Source organism: Homo sapiens, chromosome 6 (assembly GCF_000001405.40).
Source record: "Homo sapiens chromosome 6, GRCh38.p14 Primary Assembly".
Lineage (NCBI taxonomy): Eukaryota > Metazoa > Chordata > Mammalia > Primates > Hominidae > Homo > Homo sapiens.
This window is the reverse complement of record NC_000006.12, coordinates 148,683,827-148,702,181: the sequence shown is the minus strand read 5'-3', so window position 1 is coordinate 148,702,181 and position 18,355 is coordinate 148,683,827. Positions and strand designations below refer to the sequence as shown.

General features: G+C 44.0%; 1 annotated feature.

Annotated features, from left to right (window-relative positions):
- Nucleotides 7,946-8,105: an enhancer, noted in NCBI's record as "active region_25235". NCBI's record gives its function as "activates an Ori minimal core promoter by ATAC-STARR-seq in GM12878 lymphoblastoid cells {active_cell/tissue: GM12878}" and the evidence as "EXISTENCE:reporter gene assay evidence [ECO:0000049][PMID:35858748]".

Genomic DNA, 18,355 nt, shown 5'->3' with positions numbered 1-18,355 from the left:
TCTGTATTTTCTGCCCAGTTTTTCTGTAAGCCTAAAATTGCTAAAAGAAATGAAGTCTATTAATTTTTTAAAAATCGATTCCAAAGAAAGGGTAAAGGGAGAGATATAATCATATAACCATATAAACTTTGGGGTAAGACAGAAGCTTTGACATTAAACACATGAACACACTAGAAGAGGCTTAAATACATGAAAAAAAATACTAGGAACATCTATATTTTGTAGTAGATTGGGTCAAACCCCAAAATGGCAGGAAAAGAAGCAGCCAGAAAGGAAAATAACATACCCACTCAAAATAAATGAAAAATAACAACCACTACAAGGCAATCAAATGAGTATTCTAAAGGGCCATGATATAAGCAAAAACACAAATAAGCCTTAAAAAAATCACCCTCACTGAGACTGTGTACAAGCTGGGTCAACAGCCCACTATACAGGTGTCCTATGAAAACCAATTACAGCAGCCCTTTCCAGCTCAGGGGATGCTTCCTGAGCCTTTGCCTCAATCTCAGTAGAATATTTGAAAACCTAGAGGACTCTGGAGCCAGACAGAGCATGTTCCAAGTCTGGATTCCCATGTACTAATGGATGCTCTTGGGCAGAAAATAACCTCTCAAAGACCGTAAACCAGGGCAGTCAAGCAGAGACTTGGCGTCCAGGCCCTCTGGTCACACTGCATGGGTCAAATTCTAGTTCTGTCTCTCCATGGAGGTGAGACCATGAGAATCCAATGAGAAAATAAACATGCATTTTGGCCGTTCATCTGATCTGGTTTCTACTCCATTGCTTACCACATAGATTCTTTCTATGGTTGGCCCCCTTGCATTGCCAGTTCATTTGGACAAGACAGATGATATTATTTTCGTTTCACACCCAGGATGCTGCCTCTTGTCTCTCTTTCATCCTTTCATACAATGCTGCTTCTGTCTCCTGCCCAGGTCTCCGGGTCTCCGAATTCCAGCCAAGAATCAGTGTGCTGATGCTGCTTGCTTTGAAAAGGAGAGTAGCTCCTGTGAACTGAACCTAACACACCAGAATCAAGGCAGCATCATTGTATCTGCAAGATTAGGGTAACAATTATTTACAACTCAGTAGGAAAAGATAAAGAAAACATTCTCTATGTAGTGGCAATGTGGAAGTTCAAACAAAATGAAAATGAAACTAACTTATTTACACAAATAAGAGCCCTAGGCGGTTACTGACAGGCAGCTATGCAGGTCGTGACATAGGCAATGCGTATTGAACAGGCTCCTGAATCTAAGGAAAGTGGGGGGAATACGGCCTCTCTGCCTCTGGCTGCGGGACTACACAGCTGGCAGCCGACAGTAGGAGCAATTTTGCATCTGCTTTTTTACAGCCCAGTGACTGGGCAGGATTTTATGGCCAATAGCAGTAAAAATCTGGCAACTATATATTTGGAGCCCAGAAATTGAATCACCAAAACAATCCAGGGAAAAAAAAATAGAAAAGTGGTAGAAATGAAATTCACCCAATCATTAGAAAATAAGACAAGAGTATTTTTAAAATATAGAAGTTTGGGACAAGGGCAAAGTTTGGCTCTAAAACAGAAAGGGAATTTTTTAAAATGCAAAAAGGCTTGGGGAAAGGAGCACCATGGAGCATTTCCAAAGCTTTAGGGAATGAATGAGACGTATTTCAGAAAAACCCAAAATTGCACAATTGCTTTTGGGAATTAATACAAGATTAAATTAGAGATGTAAAAATAAAGGAACAATGAAAACAGAGTGACTAATTTCTCTGTATGTGAAATAAATATTTGCTTTCTTAAGGGAAGAAAAGAAAAAAGAATGAAAAAAATCACAAGTATTCAAGGAGAAGACTTTTTATTAAAAAAAAAAAACTTACAGCACTAAAAACTATCCCAATATTTATTAACATCCAGCTAATTAAAATCATGACACTAGAGGTCAGCCTCCTAATTCTGAACAAATTATATTTACTATACTATCATATCAGTGAAGTTTATAAGCAGCAGGTCCATGAAGTCATTGCCATTATTATTTTAATTATTGGTAATAACGGTAGTAGATGTTGCTTTTTAGTGAAGAACTAGGTTAGCAGAGTAAAAGGTCTGACCTAGATTCTCTGAACTATTGTCAAGAGTATTTGCTCATGTCAGAAGAATTTTTAACATCTAAATAATTTATTTAGAAGAGAAATTTCTTGTTGAATAATCACATTTTAACAGCCTACTCTCAAAGTTCAAGAATTTTCTCTCTGCCTAGCATTTCTGAGTACAGACTCTGATACCAGGATTCCTGGGCTCAAATCCTACCTGTTTCTGATTTGTTGCCCAACCTTAGGCAAATCACCCATTCGCTGCACCTGTTTCTTCATCCATAACCTCAGGGTGTTAATAGCATGTACTCTATAAGGTTGCTGTGAAGATGAAGAGAGTTAACATAGGGGAGGATCCTTGGAAGCCAGGGGAGGATCCTTGGAAGCCAGAAGTTTGAGACCAGTCTAGACAACAAAGTGAGACCCCTCATTTCTACAAAAAACTTTAAAAAAAATTAGCCAGATGCAATGGCACATGCCTATAATCCCAGCTGCTCAGGAGGCTGAAGCAGGAGGATCACTTGAGCCCATGAGCCCAGGAGTTCGAGGCTGCAGTGAGCTATGATCGCACCACCCGCACTCTAGCCTGGAGATAGGCCTTGCCTTTGAAAAAAAAGAGCAAGACCCTGTCTTTGAAAAAAAAAAAAACAACTCAAAATATGTAAATCCTTTAGAGAAGTGAACAAAGTAACTGAAGGGTCAAAAAAAGAAGAGCAGTAGATCATGGATTTAACTGCTTAAGAAATACCTCTCCAACCCACCCCTTTCACCCTGAGCCCATGCGTGGTGCCCAAGAAGTCCAGATATTCTCCCATGCCCTAGCAGGGTCTGCAGTAGATCTTCCAGGAAGTGCTCCAGAGGAAGCCAAGGAGGCTCTGAAGCAAGGCTGAGAGGTGAATCCTCTCCAGCCAGCCTGACCCTAAATAGAGGTGGGCCTGGGAGGAAACTGCAGCAGTGTTGAGAGGTGACAGCATGCTGGCAGCCCTCATAGCCCTCGCTTGCTCTCGGTGCCTCCTCGGCCTTGGCGCCCGCTCTGGCTGCACTTGAGGAGCCCTTCAGCCTGCCGCTGCGCTGTGGGAGCCCCTTTCTGGGCTGGCCAAGGCCAGAGCCAGTTCCCTCAGCTTGCCGTGAGGTGTGGAGGGAGAGGCGCGGGTGGCAACCGGGGCTGCATGCTGTGCTTGCGGGGCCAGCGCCAGTTCCGGGTGGGCGTGGGCTCGGAGGGCCCCCCACTCGGAGTGGCCTGCCGGCCCCGCCAGTCCCGGGCAGTGAGGGGCTTACCACCTGGGCCAGCAGCTGCTGTGCTCAATTTCTCACCCGGCCTTAGCTGCCTCCCCCAGGGGCAGGGCTCCGGACCTGCAGCCCACCATGCCTGAGCCTCCCGCCCACTCTGTGGGCTCCTGTGCGGCCGGATCCTCCCTGATGATCGCCGCCCTCTGCTCCACGGCGCCCAGTCCCATCGACCACCCAAGGGCTGAGGAGTGCGGGCGCATGGCGGTGAGAGGTGACAGCGTGCTGGCAGTCCTCACAGCCCTCGCTCGCTCTCGGCACCTCCTCTGCCTGGGCTCCCACTTTGGTGGCACTTGAAGAGCCCTTCAAGCCACTGCTGCACTGTGGGAGCCCCTTTCTGGGCTGGCCAAGGCTGGAGCTGGCTCCCTCAGCTTGCAGGGAGGTGTGGAGGGAGAGGCGCCAGCAGGAACCGGGGCTGCGCACGACGCTTGCGGGCCAGCTGGAGTTCCGGGTGGGCGTGGGCTTTGTAGGCCCCGCACTTGGAGCAGCCGGTGGGCTCTGCCGGCCCCCAGCAATGAGGGGCTTAGCACCCAGGCCAGCATCTGCAGGGGGTGTACTGGGTCCCCCAGCAGTGCCGGCCCACTGGCACTGTGCTCGATTTCTCACTGGGCCTTAGCTGCCTCCCAAGGGGCAGGGCTCGGGACCTGCAGCCCGCCATGCCTGAGCCTCCCCCGACTCTGTCGGCTCCTGTGCAGCCGGAGCCTCCCTGACCAGCCCCGCCCCCTGCTCCAGGGCGTCCGGTCCCATCGACCACCCAAGGGCTGAGAAGCACGGGCACACCACGCAGGACTGGCAGGCAGCTCCACCTGTAGCCCCCGTGCAAGAGCTACTGGGTGAAGCCAGCTGGGCTCCTGAGTCTGGTGGGGATGTGGAGAACCTTTATGTCTAGCTAAGGGATTGTAAATACACGAATCAGCACTCTGTATCCAGCTCGAGGTTTGTAAACACACCAATCAGCACCCTGTGTCTAGCTCAGGATTTTTGAATGCACCAATCGACACTCTGTTCCTAGCTACTCCGGTGGGGGCTTGGAGAACCTTTGTGTGGACACTCTGTATCTAGCTAATCTGGTGGGGATGTGCGAAGCTTTGTGTCTAGCTCAGGGATTGTAAACGCACCAATCAGTGCCCTGTCAAAACAGACCACTCGGCTCTACCGATCAGCAGGATGTGGGTGGGGCCAGATAAGAGAATAAAAGCAGGCTGCCCCAGCCAGCAGTGGCAACCCAATGGGATCCCCTTCCACACTGCGGAAGCTTTATTGTTTCGCTCTTTGCAATAAATCTTGCTGCTGCTCACTCTTTGGGTCCACACTGCCTTTATGAGCTGTAACACTCACCGGAAAGGTCTGCAGCTTCACTCCTAAAGCCAGCGAGACCACGAACCTACCAGGAGGAAGAACAACTCCAGACGCGCCGCCTTAAGAGCTGTAACACTCACTGTGAAGGTCCGCAGCTTCACTCCTGAGCCAGCGAGACCATGAACTCCACCAGAAGGAAGAAACTCTGAACACATCGGAACATCAGAAGGAAGAAACTCTGGACACGCCACCTTTAAGAACTGTAACACTCACCATGAGGGTCCATGGCTTCATTCCTGAAGTCAGTGAGACCAAGAACCCACCAATTCCGGACACAGCAGGACTGGCAGGCAGCTCCACCTGTGGCCCCGGTGGGGGATCTACTGGGTGAAGCCAGCTGGGCTTCTGAGTCTGGTGGGGACTTGGAGAACCTTTATGTCTAGCTAAGGGATTGTAAATACACCAATCAGCACTCTGTATCTAGCTCAAGGTTTGTAAACACACCAATCAGCACTGTGTCTAGCTCAGGGTTTGTGAATGCACCAATCGACACTCTGTATCTAGCTACTCTGGTGGGGACTGGGAGAACCTTTGCGTCCATACTCTGTACCTAGCTAATCTAGTGGGGACATGGAGAACTTTTGTGTCTAGCCCAGGGATTGTAAATGCACCAATCAGCACCCTGTAAAAAGGGACCAATCAGCTCCCTGTCAAAATGGACCAATCGGCTCTGTAAAATGGACCAATCAGCAGGATGTGGGTGGGACCAGATAAGAGAATAAAAGCAGGCTGTCCGAGCCAGCAGTGGCAACCCGCTCTGGTCCCCTTCAACACTGTGGAAGCTGTGTTTTTTTGCTGTTTGCAATAAATCTTGCTGCTGCTCACTCTTTGGGTCCACACTGCCTTTATGAGCTGTAACACTCACCACGAAGTTCTGCAGCTTCACTCCTGAAGCCAGTGAGACCACGAACCCACCGGGAGGAACGAACAACTCCAGACGCGGCGCCTTAAGAGCTGTAACACTCACCGCGAAGGTCCGCAGCTACACTCCTGAGCCAGCAAGACCATGAACCCACCAGAAGAAAGAAACTCCAAGCACATTCGAACATCAGAAGGAACAAACTCTGGACACGACTCCTTTAAAAACTGTAACACTCACCACCAGGGTCCACGGCTTCATTCTTAAAGTCAGTGAGACCAAGAACCCACCAATTCCGGACACAGTGTGAAGCCTAAGTAGCAGGGCAGGTGACCCTGGGCTTCGATCATGCTGAAAACAAAATGGAAGGTACTCCAGTGGAGCCATTTGGGCAGCAGACACATTGAGGGCAGGACCCCGTGCCCAATGACTTAGAGGGCTGGGCTGCCCATAAGCCAAAAGTCAACAGGCACAGCAGTGACTGCCTAATAGCCCTCAGACCAAAGGATCCTCATCGAAATGGACAATCTTCAGGAAACGTCCACCAGCACCTAAATGTTACCAGGAAAAGGGAAGGAGGAGAGATGGGCACCGAGAGTCCGAGCGTGGATTCATAGAGAGACTGGGTTATGTTTTAAATCTGAATCAAGCTAGTCTTAAATGGCAAAATTAAGTTTTTTCAACTATCAGTAGAAATGGAGGTTTAACAGAAAGTCAAGATCAGTCGTTAAAAAATAAAGAGAAACTGGCCAGGGTAGCACTTCTCAGAGCGTCAGTTCCGACTAAAGTGGTGATCGTTTCAGTTTGCCCAGGATGGTCCTGCTAGGCGCTTGTCCCAGGGAGATCAGTGGCTCCCCTTTCACTCTCAGCAGGTTTTGATTGAGATGATTTTAAGGTTTCCCTAGTCATGACCTGCTCAATTTCTAATGCTTTGTCTAGGATTGCTGAGGGTTGTTAACGCAGGTTTATACCACGGAATAACAACAATTCTAAATGACAAAATGGAGCTGTGCCTCGAATGGGGTGCAGAGCAGAGGTGAGTTCTCAGAACCAAGAGCAATATTGAAAACAAAGCTGTCAGCTCTCCTGGAGGACCTGGAGAAGAGCTTCACCTAGCATGCAGCCCAAGGTGAATTAGACAGACTGGACTAAATATTTAAAGAAAAGCATTCTATGGATAATTTGTCTGGATTTTTTCAGGATGGTATGATTTTCTCCAGGGATGACCGTGACAAAGTGATGCTTGCGGCAATAACCAGAGCCATTGAAAGACAACCTGGAGCCAGACAGGGGCCAGCCAGGTAAGCAACACACTCACCTGTCCTCACGGCCTCTGCCAGGGGCCCTTGAATGAGGCGAGCCAGAAAGAGGGGGACATGACAGAGGCTGAGAAGGGGATGGAAGTCCTGAGATGGAATTTGTTTTTTTGAAAAAAGTAGAAGGATGAGGAGACAGAGCAGGTGCCCAGCCTGGAAGGCTGTTCCGCAGGGGTGAGGAGACCTGGGGAAGTTGGATTTCACCAGACACAGCACAGTATGCCCAGCACACTAGGGCCCTGCCATCGAGTGCCAGTGTCCTAGGCCCTATTGTTCTTATGGAACATGAGGCTGCAACCCTCATCCCTGACACACCCAGAGACTCTTTGATATTCATTTTCAGAACTTCTCTTCCCCTCCTCTGTCCCAACAACGGAAGTTTTCTAGCCAGACACTTGACTTGTAGGAATTAGACCCCCAGGGGCCCCCACCTCGGAGATAAGTTGGATAAATGTGTTTATAACTGGACAGGGAAGGGGTCTGCTGCCTCCATGCCCAGATCTTTGGCCACAGCAGTGAGCTTATGCACCAGGCTGTTTGCTGAGCTGGCTTTGCCTGGTCACATGGATGAGGACAGAAACAGTTGCCCCAACAGCTCAACTTCCAAACAAGTCCCATCAACTCCAGCCTGATGTTACCAGAAAACCATCTGCCCAGCAAAGGGGGGGCAGGAACCTGTGTCCCCCACCCCCCAACACTGCCAGTCCCTGCTGCCAACCCTTTCACAGAAAGCATAGGGTGAGAATTGTTTACAAGAGCCTGGTTTTTCAAACACCAAGCTACATAGAAATCCTGGGGAAAGGGATCAGGGTTAGGGATTAAGGCCTAAGAGGCTGGGCCACTGGCAGGGCCAGTGAGAGCACAGGGTACCAAGTGCTGCCTTACGCCTAGGTGAGATGGACATTTTTAACTGGACAATGACTGAAAGAATACTTGGCTCTGATTAGGTCATGTGTTGGGCCTGAGTGTGTAGACTCCTATAACAGTGCAAAGTCATCAATACGACACAGAGCAGTAGTCTCAAATAGGATCCAAGAATCTGCACTTGGTGATTTTGAAGGACATTTGGTGTACATGCCTGTATTAGTCTGTTTTCACACTGCTGTAAAGATACTACCTGAGAGTAGGTAATTTATAAAGAAAGCAGCTTTAACTGACTCACAGTTCTGCATGGCTGGCGAGGCCTCAGGAAATGAAGCAAGGCATGTCTTGTATGGCAGCTGGAGAGAGTGAGAGTGAGGAAGTGCCACACTTTAAAACCATCAGATCTCATGAGAATTCAATTGCTATCAGGAGAAGAGCATGGGGGAACTGCCCCCATGATCCAGTCACCTCCCACCAGGTCCCTCCCTCAACATGTGGGGGTTATAATTCAGATGAGATTTGGGTGGGGACACAGAGCCAAACCATATCAATGCCTTTCCTTGAAGGAACATTGAATGTTATTGGAATTGATTTTTGAAGGCCAAAATATCAAAGCTGGAGATTCTCTTTTGAATTGGGGGTGTGGAATCCAGCAATCATGTGAACACAGTCTTTGTCAGCAATCTGAGCTCAGGCCATGCACAGTGGCTCATGGCTGTAATCCTAGCACTTTGGGAGGCCAAGGCGGATGGATCATGAGGTCAGGAGTTTAAGACCAGCCTGACCAAGATGGCGAAACCCTGTCTCTACTAAAAATACAAAAATTAGCCAGGCATGGTGGCATGTGCCTGTAATCCCAGCTACTCAGGAGACTGAGTCAGGAGACTGAGGCAGGAGAATTGCTTGAACCCAGGAGATGGAGGTTGCAGTGAGCAGAGATCATGCCACTGCACTCCAGCCTGGGTGACAGAGCAAGAATCTGTCTCAAAAAAAAAAAAAAAAAAAAATCTGAGCTCAGATTAAATCAAAACAACTTAGTTTTTAATGATGGCCAGAAACAACTTTTTTCCACCTCCATTTGATGTTCTTTATTCATCATCTTACTCATTGCAAATTTTTTTGGCATTTTTATGTTTCTTATTGTTTATCTAAACGACGTCATAATTGATCATTATTGAGATCTATTATATTTGACTCTTCTCGTTTATTTATTTCTTTATATTTTTCCAAGAAGTGTGATGGACTTTGGGATTTCCTTCTTGGGGAACTCTATGTTTCAAAGTCAAGTGGAAGTTGCCTGAGGACAGTCTCTCTTTCTGGGTTTTGTTTTTGAAAACAAAATAATCGAGAGTCTTTGACAGAAGAAACAGAGACAGGTAACCAATTTGGGGGTGAAGGAGAAGATAAGGGATGAGAGAGAATGATTAATCTAGACAAGAAGGGAACAGTAGTTAGGTTTTTAGTTTTAGCAACTGAAGGAGGGTATAGAACCTCAGAGGAGCAGGAGGGAGTGCCCATCTCCAGCAGCTGATCCCAAAGCACTGCACCCTCCTGTCTAAGGGGTGGCACTCAAACTGTGGTGCAGCTCCCAAGGCCTACGAAGCCTTAGGCAAGTGTAATCAATATCAAGGTTGGCCAGAATGGGCCACAGAGAAGTGGAGCTTCCCAAATGTTGTGCCTTGTGTAAGACTATAGAAGCTGTAAAGGGATCCTGGCTGGCAATTGGGGGTGATAGAAAGAAATAGAGAATCGAGTCCCAGTGATGACTGCCTTTAAGTTTTCTATCAGAGTTAGATTTACATGTATTTTTGAAAAAAAAAATGAAGTTAATGGCATGTTTCATTTCTTAACACTTGGTGCAGGGGAATACACATTGATCACACAAAAAGAAAATTCACCAGGAATGGTACAAATCATGGAAGTGCATAAAAACGATCCTAAATCTATCAACATTTTAAATTCAGCTCTTTGAATTAGAGTTGCAAACAACTGTTGAAGCAGACAAATTCAAGTTTCATTTCCAATTGTTATATCCTCCTTGTAGTGGATGCTCCAATGGGCCTTGTGTTTGGAAGGAGGGAAACCAAGGGTAAAAGAGAGGCAAAAGAACAAGCAGCTACTCCGGAGGCTGAGGCAGGAGAATGGCGTGAACCCGGGAGGCGGAGCTTGCAGTGAGCTGAGATCGCGCCACTGCACTCCAGCCTGGGCGACAGAGCGAGACTCCGTCTCAAAACAAAACAAAACAAAACAAAACAAAACAAAACACAAGAAAACTGTCTGGCAGATTGGCAAACTGACATCTAAATTACTGAGAGGGCCAGGCATGGTGGCTCACGCCTGTAATCCCAGCGCTTTGGGAGGCTGAGGGGTTGGGATCAACTGCGATCAAGAGTTCAAGACCAGCCTGGCCAACATGTTGAGACCCTGTATCTACCAAAAATACAAAAATTAGCCAGACATGGTGGGTGGGTGCCTCTAGTCCCAGCTACTCGGGAGGCTGAGGTGAGAGAATCACTTGAACCCGGGAAGTGGAGGTTGCAGTGAGTGGAGATGGCACCCCTGCACTCCAGCCTGGGTGACAGAGCCAGACTCCATCTCAAAAAAAAAAAAAATTATTGAGAGGAGACTAATATTAAGATGCCTTAATGCTTGTATTACTAATATTCCAGTACAGACACGTGACAATTTTGCCATAGCTCTACATCTCAATGGGCTTGGTTTTTTATTCGTTGCTGTTTGTTTGTTTTAAATCTTTGTTTTCCAAATTAAAGATCTCTTTTAAATGATGTTATTTTAAGTACCATTGCCACAAGGCCTTCTAATGTAAGTTGTGTTTAACATGGAATAGTTTCTGACTCTGTGAGGAGTGGAGGTCTGTCTCTTTTGAGTAGAGGCGAAATTGGCATGACTTGTCATCAAGAAACTCAAACAGTTCATGTTCAGCAGAAACAAAGATTATATTTTTTGGTTATAACCTTTTAGGAAAGGTGCTATTGACTTATTAGTCACATTTTATAGTAGCCAGGAGGAAAAATAATTGACTAAAAAGAAAGCTGCTTATGGATTTTTGAAAGACTTCTATTTTCATATTAGTATGTTGAATATTTAAATATAATTTGTACTCTTTTAAACAGATATTTGCTCAGTTTCAATGGAGTTTCCAAAAGTAAGAAATTATTTAAATTGAGGATTAATCTTTAGCATTTATACTTCCTCATCAACTAAGATTATTGTACAGTGTATACAACAAAAAATTCTAAAATCTACAGGAAGATTATTTTTGTGAGAGAGGCAGAATTCTGGAGAGCTGAATGTGTTTATAGGTCATTTTTAAGAGACATTTTACAAAATAATTACTTGTTATTAAGTCATTTGCAAGAAAATAACACCATGATGCATCTATAAGTAAATAAAATATCTGATTATGTCAGGGAACCATTTCACCCACATTTTTAGTACTATCCGTAGTATGTAAGAACTGAATAAGAGTATTTCTGGGACAAAGAAAAAGAGGAGGTTTTTCTAAGAACTTGCTGAGTTAATATTATGCATCTCTGTGCATGGCAATGCAGCGTATTTAGTCTTAGAATAATTTTCTAAGAATTCTTAGAATAATTTTCTAAGGAAAAGACCTTTCTGCCTGAGGACCCAGATTCAACTGGGTTTACTCTGGAGAACTGAGTCTTTACCATGTCTCTGCTAAATCCAGAAATGTCAGCATCAGCCTCTGTCTGCAGGGCTGCAAGGCCTTCATCAAAGCTGTCATGAGGACATAAATCTTGAATGGGAAGCAAGGTGAAAAGTGCTTCAACTCATTGCATTTCAGTCTCTGTGGTCCTTAGAATAGTTTTTTACTGAAGTGAAGTTGAAGATGAGCCTGCAATCTTGTCTTGGTAACCCCATTTAGCCCTTGTTCTGTCAGCATAAAGTACAGAAAGTCCTCATTATCCAAGAATAATTGATACCAGGAAGGATCCACTTCACAGTGAATCTGCACAAAATGGGAACCAAAATTTAATAGTAAATAGAAAATAAAAAAGAAAGTTTGACTAGGATCGTATGAAAAGTGAAGCTAAAATTATGAAAATTGTTTTATATTACATTAAAAACTTTAAGGTTGTAATTGTATCTGTTGTGATAATTCTTAGGATAAAAGAGTAATTAACTACTTATTGCTTTTTCAGGGGTAGAATTTTTCCACAAAGTTATCTGATAGCAAAGTTTGCATTTGTCTTCCTTTGCAAACTAGAAAGAGGATCATTTTTCTTTGCAAATATATTCAAGAATTTCCTCACATTTTACAAGATCTTTTCTTAATCCTTTTTTATTAAAATCATTCTTTTCCAAGTATCATCATCCTTGTCAAATTTCTCTTCTTCAGTTGTCAACTCTTCTAATTCTGTGAGATCCTTATTTGCCAGTGGCTTTGTGAATAGGATAATTCTTTAGTATTCTTTTCAATGACTTTATGTCATCTTATATAGATGGCAAAATTGGCAATTTTTCTTTGAGTTAATTTGCATTGTATTGTAGAATGTTTATACCATAAAATTATCATCAATACTCAGATAACCAAGATTTTGAAGCATGGCTGGAGACTGCTTTGTAAATGGGATCAGGTGATTGTTAGAATTTTCCAGCTTGCTACATCTTTTGCAATCTCATAATATCAGGGACTTGATAATGAATGTTTAGACAATGAGAATACTTCTCTATACAACCTTGAAGTTGAGACAGTATTGGTAGATGGGAAAGGACCTATAGCCAGTTGTTATTAGTTTCAAAAAAAAAAAAAAAACCACAAACACCTTTGCCTCCTATTAAAAAGTAATTGAAAAACCCTGATCTTTACTTTCTTGCTATTTTTCACATTATCAAAGAACTTAACCAATGTGATGGAAAGGAAGCTCCTTTCTATATTGCCACACAGAGACAGCCTGTGCAATGATGAAACACAGCAGGACATTCTTTGAAATACATTGACAGTTAGATTTTATATTAGCAGTCTCTCCTGACACTCCCCATCATGGCTGTTACTTGCAGTAGCATTACCCAGTGTATTAGTCAGCGTTCTCTAGAGGAACAGAACTAATAGGCTAGATGTATATATAAGGGGAGTTTATTAAGGAGTATTGACTCACACCATCATAAGGTGAGGTCCCATAATAGGCCGTCTGCAAGCTGTGGAGCAAGGAAGCCAGTCCAAGTCCCAAAACCTCAAAAGAAGGGAAGCCGACAGTGCAGCCTTCAGCCTGTGGTCGAAGGTATGAGTCCCAAAGTTGAAGAACTTGGAGTCTGATGTTCGAGGGCAGGAAGCATCCAGCACGGGAGAAAGATGTAGGCCAGAAGACTAAACCAGTCTAGTCTTTCCATGTTCTTCTTCCTGCTTTTATTCTGGCCATGGTGGCAGTTGATTAGATGATGCCCACCCAGATTGAGGTTGGGTCTGCCTTTCCCATTTCACTGGCTCCAATGTTAATCTCCTTTGGTGACACCCTCACAGACACATCCAGGAACAATACTTTGCATCCTTCAATCCAATCAAGTTGACACTCAATATTAACTATCACACCCAGTAAATTTTCAGACTCCTGACAGAAATAGCCTCAAATTTACAATGTATAAATGTAAAAGTGTTTAAGAATTCATGGACATCAACATTTCTCTTTGACAGGTACCTAGAGAGAGAAAAGACAGCTTCTGGTTTGGCAAGGACTACAGGAGTTCATTTTGGGGGACCCATTGTTTATATCCTGTAGACACAGGTGAGTGTAGTGGTTAAGTGTGCATACTGTCTGGGTAGGGATCCCAGCTCTGTCTCTTACTAGCTGTGTAATCTTTAGCAAGTTATTTAACTCGACTTTTCCTCAACAAACAAATTATAATAGTGCCTATGAAACAGGATTGTTATGGAAGTGAAATGAACTAATATTTGTGAAACAATTAAAATAGTGAGGACCCATAGGAAGTGCACAAATAATTATTTTTTAAAATAAATGCCCAAATATGCAAATAGTACAAATCATTGATTACTAAAGAAACTTTAACATCAAGGACCATAAGGGAAGCAATTTCTCAGAGGGCTTCTGGTAGCTTCCTATTAACCTATGCAAAATTTCTAGGAATTTTACCAAATTAAGCAAATTATGCAAGAGGTATTCAAATTCCATTTTAAAAAGTTACAGAGCATTGCACGTGTTTGCAACATAACTAATAATCTGTTTTGAGAGTGGGCTTTCTTACTGCAGACCCAGGATAGGTTCAGGGCTTGAGTCTTCTGATGATCACTGTGGATCTACCATCTGCTCTTGGAATTGAACACATGTTTGGGCACCTGCATCAGTTCTTCCTGTGTAAGTTCTAACCACAGAGGCACCACTAGTCTACAGCACTTAAGGGCAGTGGAGTGGGGTGGGGTTGCAGGACTCTTTTACTCTGTCCCTCCCCTGCATTTGACACCCAAGTCGGTCACTTAGTGAAGCCCAGGAACCGCCTCTGAGAGGCTCATTGGAAGCCAGTTTTTATGAGCTGAGGATGGATGAGCATGTAGCATCATGAATGATAATGTAGTCAGATGAAATACATTGTGTTAAGGACCTTCAGAGGCAACAAGATCTATGTCGTTTCCAGTTGAAAAGTCAAGGCATTGTGAACCACAATGGTATTACTCCTTTCATCTCACTGGGAAAGACAGGAAATTAGCCTGGAATGGAACATTTGAAAATAAAGTCTGGGAAGATGGTTCCTGGATCTGCACAGGAAGATATGGTACCTGGACACTATGAGGAATCATCTTCTGGTTGAACTGATTTGACGATAACCAAGCATGTAGGCCCCTCCTCTCTACTCATTATTCTAAATCTTCATTGATAAATCACAATTCCTTACATGGGCCCATGAATTGTATAATACATTTTAATAAAATTGTTTGTGTAATTGGGAGCCCCATAAAAAATATCAGCACAGGGCTGTACACTTTGAGGATTACCCTGGTAAAGAATGCCAGCTTCAGACCTAGACTTCCTTTGTTCAAATCCCAGTTGTGTGCTCTTGAGCAAAGTACCTCATCTCTCTGGGTTGTTTTTTTTTTTCTTTTTTGAGATGGAGTCTCACTCTGTCACCCAGCCTAGAGTTCAGTGGCGTGATCTCGGCTCACTGCAACCTCCACCTCCCGGGTTCAAGCAATTCCCATGCCTCAGCCTCCCAAGTAGTTGGGATTACGGGTGCGCAACTAATTTTTGTATTTTTTAGTAGAGGCGGGATTTCACCATGTTGGCCAGGCTGGTCTTGAACTCCTCTCTGTTCTTTAGTTTCCTCATGTACAAAATCAGAAGGATACAGCACAGGTTGTGGTAAAGATTAAATAAATTCTCCTATGAAAGCCAGTGCCTGGCCCATGGTATGAACTCAATTATTATTTGTTATCATCTATTTCCTCCAAGACTGCATATTCACGTGGCTTTTGATAGTGTTGTGAAACAGCTTTCTTGAACGTTTGGCCATAACATCTTTAAAGCATGTCATTCCATCACATGTTAAAGTGGCCTGTTCATGAGAATGATACAATGGACTTTGGGGACTTGGGAGGAAGCGTGGGAAGGGGGTGAGAGATAAAAGACAACAAATAGGATGCAGTGTATACTGCTTGGGTGATAGGTGTACCGAAATCTCACAAACCACCGCTAAAGAACTTACTCATGTAACCAAACACCACCTGTACCCCAATAACCTATGGAAAACTTTTTTAAATAATAAAAAAAAATTAAGTGGCCTGTTTGGGTCAGCCAAATAAGGTGGAAGAATGAAATAGAAAAAATAGTAAAATAAGGAAAAGAGAAGTACGGGAAAGTATCAAAGCTGAGTAGGGGGGAAGGTGTAGGAAGAAGAGGGAGATAAAGAAAATATGAATGATTATGAAAAATTATTCTTAGCATTTTAAGTGCTAAAAATCATTTTGTGACTACTAGTTTGTGTATACTGGCCCCTGTTGATTGGATCCTAGAACTTAAAGATGGATTTGTTTCTTACCACAAAACAACAACAACAAACAAAAGCAAAATAAACATATACACACAAAGGAACATACAAAAACGCTTTGGAAGTGATGGATATGTTTATTACCTTGATTGTGGTTATAGACAGGTGTGTGCCTATGTCCAAACCCATCAAATTGTATACATTAAATGTTCAGGGTTTTTTGCAAATCAATTATACCTTAATAAAGCTGTTAAAAAAAAGATGAGTTTGTCTATGTTGTCCTTTTGTCTCTCTCAACCGTCTCAAAAATGACTTTTTGAGAGTCAGAGATACCTTGATGAGATTCTACAATATCTACTTAGGATCTCACACTGTCTCTCTAATAATTAAAAAGGAAAAGTATTTAAGCTAAGTAACCCCAAGATAAGAAAAAAACATTGCCCTGATAACATTAAATTAAATTCTGCATCCTCAAACTCTAAGATTTTTTTTTATTATATATTTATTTTTTGAGATGGAGTCTTGCTCTGTCACCCAGGCTGGAGTGCAGTGGTGCTATCTCAGGTCACTACAACCTCTGCCTCCCAGGTTCAAGCAATTCTCCTGACTCAGCCTCCCGAGTAGCTAAGATTACAGGTACCCACCACCATGCCCAGCTAATTTTTGTATTTTTAGTAGAGATGGGGTTTCGCCATGTTGGCCAGGCTAGTCTTGAACTCCTGACCTTAAGCGATCTGCCTGCCTCGGCTTCCCAAACTGCTGGGATTACAGACGTGAGCCAGCGTGCCCAGCCCTAAGTAAGATTTTAGAAAAAAAATAAAGTATCCTAGTTATAAAGGTTACTGGGACCAGGAAGTTACCCTTTTTATTTCTGAAGGAACTTCAGGTTTCCCTGAAATGAAGGAGATACAGACGGGGTCTTAACAGCAGTGAGAATCACAGATAAATATGACTCCATTTATGGGGCTTTAAATTACTTTCCATAAAAATAATGTGGCATTTTTATTTATATATCACTGGGTAATGCTTAAACTTAATGTAGTTAGTGCTAAGGGGCAGCTGGAGTTTTATATATTATTTTTATTTCTGGAAGGTAATCCAAACAAGAGCAAACCACAAGTCCTTCTAACACTGCAATTCCTGCTCTTAGTCTATTCTAAGCACACATACCTCAGTCCCATTGAAGATGCATCACTGAGATGAATTCAGGTTATCCTACGAAAATAGTATAACCTGAGATGGAATGAACAGCAATTAATTTCTGCCATTCAAAAACATCTTGTGCAACAATGAATATCAGTCTCCCACCCCACCTCTGCCCAACCTGCAAAATCATGGTTGAACAAAACACTCTAAATTACATAAATGGACACATAGACTCCCAGGCTCTGCTGCAGAATGTGTTTTGAGATTGCAAACATAATTTAATCCTTGACAATTTCTCTCCCTCCCTCTCGTCTCCACTTTTCTAGGCCAGTATAGATGTTTCTGTGTTCAAGTTTTGTTTCGCTTTGATATAATTTTTGTTGTAGTGAAACAAGAATCTACCTATTCATGTGGGTCCCCAGCTACCAAAAGCCTCCTCTTGAGGGTTCCCCATATGCATTTCACATGTGCTTAGAAATGTGTCTGGCCAGGTTTCAGGTCATCTTCCATCTATCCATTCTGATACCTGTGTCAGTAAGAAGGTCTTTTAGCACCTCTATTTCTTCTTTAATTCTGAGTATTTCCTGTTTCCTTTTCTTATCCCTCCATCCTGTCTGGGCTTCTGGCAGTTTGAGCCCGGAGGTCCAGATTTAGAGTATAATTAGTAAGCATTCCATCCCTTAACCCCAGGGTCCTTGGGAGCAGACTGCTCTGCTGGCCCTGGCCCTGCCCCTGCAGGATATCACCCCTGATGCTGCCTCAGGAGAGCCCCACCCAGATTCTGCAGGGCCCACCACACCCTCCAGACCTGGTGGTCTCCTTCTGGGTAGTGCTGCTGTAGGCACAGACCTCTGCCTACGACCACAGCTTCAGCTGCCACCAGCGATGCCTGGGAAGCTTCCAGGTACCAACACTGTCTGCTGGCCACTGTCCCCTTCCCTATCTCTCTCATATCACATTCCTTTAGGGAATTACCCAAGCAAAGCAAGTATATCCCAGTGTTAGCCTAAATAAATAAATAAATGCTCCAATTATGACTTACAGCCCCTTCTCTTCCTAGAACCCAGATGTAGAGTCTTGTGTACTGATGACAGATCTGTGAAACTGGCACAACACTGTGCTCCAAATTCCTCCCCACCGTTGACCACGAAGCCTCTATGGCGGTATCAAGCTGGTTGTGCCCGGTTCCTTCTTCCCTTAGGATGAATTACCTCCTAGGAACCTCCTTAGCCTCTGGAAATAGGCTTTCATCATCTCATCCTACCTGCCCACCAGACGTAACCGGAAGTGTCTAAATCCCAGGAGTGGCTGCAGTTCTGCCTCAGGTAAGACCTCTCTTCCTTTGAAAAGAACAAAGTCCATTTGAGACTGAGAATGGGATGACATGCTTCTGGACAGTTGCATGTGGGGAGCATCTCGTGGTATTTACAGACGTGAGGTATGAAGAATGCAGAGGGAATGAAGGAGC